Source organism: Homo sapiens, chromosome 4 (genome assembly GCF_000001405.40).
Source record: "Homo sapiens chromosome 4, GRCh38.p14 Primary Assembly".
Classification (NCBI taxonomy): Eukaryota; Metazoa; Chordata; class Mammalia; order Primates; family Hominidae; genus Homo; species Homo sapiens.
In genome coordinates, this window is record NC_000004.12 from 75,541,329 (window position 1) to 75,547,328 (window position 6,000).

Below are 6,000 nucleotides of genomic sequence, written 5' to 3' on the forward strand. Positions count from 1 at the left end.
GCCATGGGAAAACAAGACCTTAACATGGATAAAAACAATATAAAGCACAACTCAAAATAGTATCTCACTTATATAAAATGTTTTGAAACCTACCTACAAAACAATTTATAAGTGTGTACGTGTGTGTGTGTGTGTGTAAGTATATAGAAAAAGAAAGAAAAGATATATGCAAACTTTTAAAGTGGTTACTTCTAGAGAGGGGGTTATATACTTCCTGGGAACAGAGACAGAGAGTGCACATGAAAGAAAGAGAGATGAAGGGAGGGAGGAAAGGAGAATAAAAAAAGGAAAGAAGGGAGGAAAAGAAAATTATAATAACAGCATTCTACAAATTTAAATCAAAACCAGCCGGGCACAGTGGCTCATGCCTGTAATCCAGCACTTTGGGAGGCCGAGGCAGGTGGATCACTTGAGGTCAGGAGTTCAAGACCAGCCTGGCCAACATGGCAAGACCTCGTCTCTACTAAAAATACAAACATTAGCTGGGCATGGTAGCAGGCACCTGTAATCACAGCTACTCAGGAGGCTGAGGCAGGAGAATCGCTTGAGCGCAGAGGGGCGGAGGTTTCAGTGAGCCAAGATTGCACCACTGTACTCCAGCCTGGGCAACAGAGCAAGACTGTCTCCAAAAAAAAAAAAAAAGAAAATCAAAACCATTTCATCTCTGAAAAATGAGGTATTACTTGTTATCATTACCTTCATCATCCCCCTGGGACATTGGCTAAAGTTGGATGTAAGTCTTGAATTACTAGTATTTCCCGTGACACCTACATATTTCAAAGAAATCTCCCAAACCCCTGCCAGCCCAACTATTTGAGATTTAAGAAACCACTGTCTGGGTAGGTGTGTTTTAAAGATTTTAATTAGCTTGCCTGTGACTGGTCACCAGCAGAACCCTACAAATGACTGCCTCCATCCCTTGTTGAGAACCTCACAATACAGCTTTCCAACTGACCCAATACCTCAGAAAACTAAAGAACGTGACTTCAGAGTACTGATATCTGGGAAGTATTGCATGCTCTAATAGAGCTGATCGCAATTTTCATAAATCCTCGTATTTCTGCCTGTGTTTTGTTTCAGATATCCATGTTCAAGAGGAAATGTTTGTTCAAGGCAAAAAATTATTTCTCAGTAACCATCATAGCTAACATTTATAAGGTGCCAATCTTTATTCAAAGCACTTAAACTTTATTAACTCATTTAACTTCACAACAACCCTATAAGGTAGGTACTATTATTATTATTCTCATTTTACAGAAGAGGAAATTAAACAGAGAAAAGCTAGGTAATTTGCCCAAGGTTTCACAGCTGGTATAACGATGTCTTCATATCATTATATGAAGTCACGTTGTTGTTTGTTCTGATCTACAATGCAAGAGCCAGAGACTTTTGTTTTGTTTTGTTTTGTCTTTTTTTATTTATTCTGGAGACCCAGAGACTTTGATTCACTCATTGTTGAATTGTTGCTGAACATTCACAATGTCTTAAAGGCCAGACTTCAGTCACTCCATTTGGAAGCTCCAGTTGGGGCATTTAGAGGCTGAAGGATAAAATGTGAACTCATCTTGTGTCTGAAGCTGAGGAAAGCCCATAGTTACTCATTACCACAATCTGGATCTGTCTGATGCTACTGCCAAGCATAAACAGGGCAGATGCACACTCAGGATGAAGTCACCTTACCACATACACAGGCAAAACATTCAAATATCCACAGGTCTCACCAGCAAAGGAGTCTGTCTAGTCACCTGGTTTCTCTCAGCTCTCAGGAAGAATGCATGGAATGATAAAAGATTGGTCCTGATCTCTGCTAATGCTTTACTCAGCCACTGGAACTGACACAATTTTTTACTCTATGTCTACATCTCTAGTCTATAATCAAATACAAGAGCATAAAAAATTAATAGCTCTTCTTCCTCCATTTTAATACTAGGCTTAAGAATTTTCATTCTCTATGTGATTTGCTACTATAGTATATTAGTAATATTTTAGAACCAGTTTTAGCAAACCACTTGTGGCATACTGTGTATGGCTTCAGGTACAGCTGGATCTAGGAGTTCAAATGATGTTTTCAGAATCTGGAGTCTCTCAACTCTGCTTTATCAAGCAGCCTCTCCCTTCATGTAGGTATGTTCCTCACAACTTCAAGTCCAAAGACAAAATGTGTGCCTCCTTTCCAGTCATTCATATGACAGTCCCAGGACTAGTTCGGACTGAGTCTGATTGAAATGGCTTGAGTCAAATACTCAACCCTAAATAAATATCTGTGGCCATAGGAATGCTATGCTATGATTGGCAGTCATAGATTACAGCCGATTCCTGGAACCAAGAGAGTAGAGAAATGATGGTTTTCCAGAGGGAACTCAGGGTTAAGTCCTCAGAAGAACTGGATAGGTACTGGGCTGGGCAAGCCAAAATAATGGCAGTGGAGCAGAGAGAAGAGAGTAGGCTGGCTCTGTAGTGGTAGAGCATAGCTGCAGAGTGAAGATTTTTTGTTAGTAAATCGCTTCGTGTACATTTGTTTACCAGAACAAGGGGAACAGCATAGAAGTATTCTATCCTTGTTATGGCCATGATAGACAATATAGGCACTATGGGTCGCCCCCAGTAAATTACATTCTTGGAAGCTGACTCTTCTTAGCAGTGTCCCATCCACTCCCTCCCTGTGGACTATTGCTCTTCCCACTAGCCATGAGGTAGGTCCATGTGACATTTTGACATTTCTCAGAATAAACCAAACATTTATATAGGGTGATTTTTTGAACACTTTTTATAATGGAAAGTTCCAAACAAAAGTAGAGAGTATAATATACTCTAATGCATCCATCACCCAGCTTCAACAGTTATAAAACATGGACAGTCTTGTTTTATCCACACCCTCACTCTCTCCCCTCCTCTGATTATTTTGAAGCACATCCCAAACAACATATAATCTGTAGCTATTTCAGCATGTATCTCTAAAAGATAAGGACTTTATTTTTTAATTTTTGTTTGTTTTTTAGAGACAGAGTCTCACTCCATCACCCAGGCTGGAGTGCAGTGGCGCAATCTCGGCTCATCACTCCGTCGCCCAGGCTGGAATGCAGTGGCGCAATCTCGGCTCACTACAACCTCTGCCTCCCAAGTTCAAGTGATTCTCATGCTTCAGCCTCCTGATCAGCTGGGACTACAGGAGTGCACCACCATGCCCAGCTAATTTTTGTATTTTTTGGTAGAGACGGAGTTTCACCATGTTGGCCAGGCTGGTCTCAAACTTCTGGCTTCAAGTGATACCCCCCAACCTCGGCCTCCCAAAGTGCTAGAATTACAGGTGTGAGTCCCCACCACCACATCTGGCCTAGGACTCTGTTTTTTTTTTTAGACAAAGGTATATATCACTGTTTCATCTAAAAACATTTAACAATAATCTCCCTCCAAACATTGTAATGGGTTGATATGTCTCTAAAGTCTCTTTTAATCTGTAGGTTCCCACTCCATTATTTATTTTACCTTGAAAAAAAATTAACCAAGTGTTTTGCCCTACAGAACCTGGGTGAATTTTAAGGATACTATCACAGGGCTCTCACTGCAATAGGACAACAGCCAGAGTCTCAAGAGCACACCTACTATAGAAATTAAAATCAAGAATTCTGGAGCCAAATTGCCTGGGTTCATAGCATGGCTCTGCCACTTCTTAGCCACAGGACAACCTCTCTGTGCCTCGGTTTTCTCATCTCTAAAATGGGGATGACAATAGTAACTACCTCATTGGGTTGTTTTAAGAATTACATGACTTAATGTATGTCCAATTCTTAGAACAGTGATGCTTAGGATATAGTAAATGATAACATAGATGAGGAAATTGAGAGGCAGGGAAGCTGACTGGTCCAAGGTCCTGCAGCTAAACAATGGCAGGGCAGAGAGCACAGCGCGGATTCACCCCACTGGTTTAATACTCTGTTTCAAACCATCGATGAATGCAGGCTCTTGTTGACGTGGGCATTACTCTGCCCCTCACCGGGATGTTACTGCCATTCTGTTGCTAAATCACCAGGATGAGGTTAGGAACCTTCTCCAGGCCTCAGGCTCCTGCTCTGCAAACTGAAGGAACTAGAGGTGTGGTTAAGGTGCCTGAACCCCCTTTTAGGAGAAATCCCAGCAGAAGATGCCTAAGCAAGCCTTGCAGGAAGTCATCTAGGCCACCTTCAAGTCAGTGCCAACCGCAGAATCTTTAGATCCCCCAAAAGAGCACCTGTCCCTTTGTGGTGCTTCTGACAGAGAACCCCAAGCAGCCCTAGACCTCCCTCAACCTGACTCAGGGGTGCCCACCACTCCCCATCCTCCCTGACACACATAATCCTGGCTGAGGCAGCCCAAATAGCAGCTTCCCCGGATTACTCACCGTGGCTCTGTGAGAAGAATGCCTCTCCCAGGCAGCGTCCGCAGTTGTGACCACAGATGGGAGACTAGCCTAATTGGACTTACCAGCAGCTCACCTTGGCTTCCTCAAGGCCCAGCAGCAGGACAGGGCCTTTCTCTGAGCAGAACTTGAATGATAAAAGAAGCAGGTGAAGCTGATCCAGCCTCAGACAGACCTCCAGTGGGCCCTTGAGGGTGTGAGAGGCAGCTCTGCGGGCCCACCCTAGAACTGCGTGTGGACAGCTAGAAAGCCTAGCCTTTCTGACATTGCTGGCCTAAGAGGTTTCATCTTTAGGGTTTTTTTCCTTCTCAGGCTGCTAGCTTCCATCTCACTTAATACAGAAGGATGGTCTCAATTTAAGCATCTGAAACAAATTACTTAGCAAAAACCATTTTCGTTGTATCCAAACCCAGTGTCTTCAGTTTGAGCTCTCTGAAATTCCAAACACATGTTCAAACCACCAGGAAAGAGGGAAAGAGAGACTGAGAAGAGGGGGACTGAAGCAGGGAAGTCACTATGAGATTCTCCCCAAAATCCCGATGTTCAGCCTCTGGGTGAAGGACATTCCATCCTGAGACGGAGGGATTGCTCTCTTCACCAGCACCTTTCTGAAGTGTCTGTGTTAGAGGCAGTTCAGTGCTCACACAGCAGCCTGAAATTCTTAGTCCTCCCACACATCTCCAGTCAAGGAGCACTGTCCATGCCCCTTCATTGTCCATAAACACCCAAGCTCTTATTTAGAAGCAATTGATTTCTCAAATCTTTTCCTATGTATTTATTCACTAAACCTGTCAAGCAACACATTTAAGCATGACAGAGAAAGAATATGGGCATGTGTTAGGATTCCCTAGAGAAACAGAACCAATAGGGTGAGTATATGGAGAGGAGAGGTTTAGTTTAAGGAAGTACCTCATGCAGTTACGGAGGCTGGCAAGTCCAAAATCTACAGGGTAGGCCAGGCAGGCTGAAGACTCAGAGAAGAGCCTATACTGCAGTTCCAGTCCAAAAGCTGTCTGCTGCACAGTTCCCTCTTACTCAGGGAAGCTCAGTCTTTGATTCCATTCCAGCCTTCAGTTGATCAGATGAGGCCCACCCACATTACAGAGGGCCATCCGTTTACTCAAAGCCCACTGATTTCAATATAAACCTCATCCCAAAACACCCTCCCAGAAACATCCAGAATAATGTTTGACCAACTATCTGGGTACTAAAGCCCAGCCAAGTTGGCACATCAAATTAATCATTGCAGGGTGTGAGCAGGAGAAAAAAGAAGAGATGAGATTGCCCTGAGCCCAAATCCAGAAAGCAGGGCACAACCAAGAGAGCTAAAGACCCCTGGGTAAAGCCACCTCCTGCCCCCAAGTCCTTCCCTGACGCAGACTTGCTGGACAACCAGGTGCGTCAACATGCAGGTACAGGGGCAGACCCTTCTCCCTTCCCTCCTCCTCCATGCCTTTCACAACTATTTGCTGAGTGTCACTGTGCCAAGCCCTGGGGCTAAAACTAATCAAGATTTGGTTCTTCTGTACACTTAAAAGTGGTTAAAATGGTCAATTTTATGTTACGTATATTTTACCACAATTTAAAATAAATTTGAAAAAAAA

The 6,000-nt window shown here is 43.4% G+C and overlaps 1 protein-coding gene across 4 annotated transcripts in view; it reads left to right on the forward strand.

The window, feature by feature from the left end:
• THAP6 (THAP domain containing 6) overlaps positions 1 to 6,000 on the forward strand; it is a 33,421-nt gene extending 27,421 nt beyond the window's left edge. For 2 of the 4 annotated variants that reach the window (XM_047449652.1, XM_006714109.5), the window contains exon 5: positions 1,081 to 3,637. In XM_047449652.1, coding sequence (XP_047305608.1) covers positions 1,081 to 1,185 — 105 coding nt within the window. In that variant the 3' untranslated portion in view covers positions 1,186 to 3,637. Of the gene's footprint in view, positions 1 to 1,080; positions 3,638 to 5,645 lie in introns of those variants that run through there. The other 2 variants (NR_133920.2, XM_005262774.5) reach the window with 2 other exon arrangements.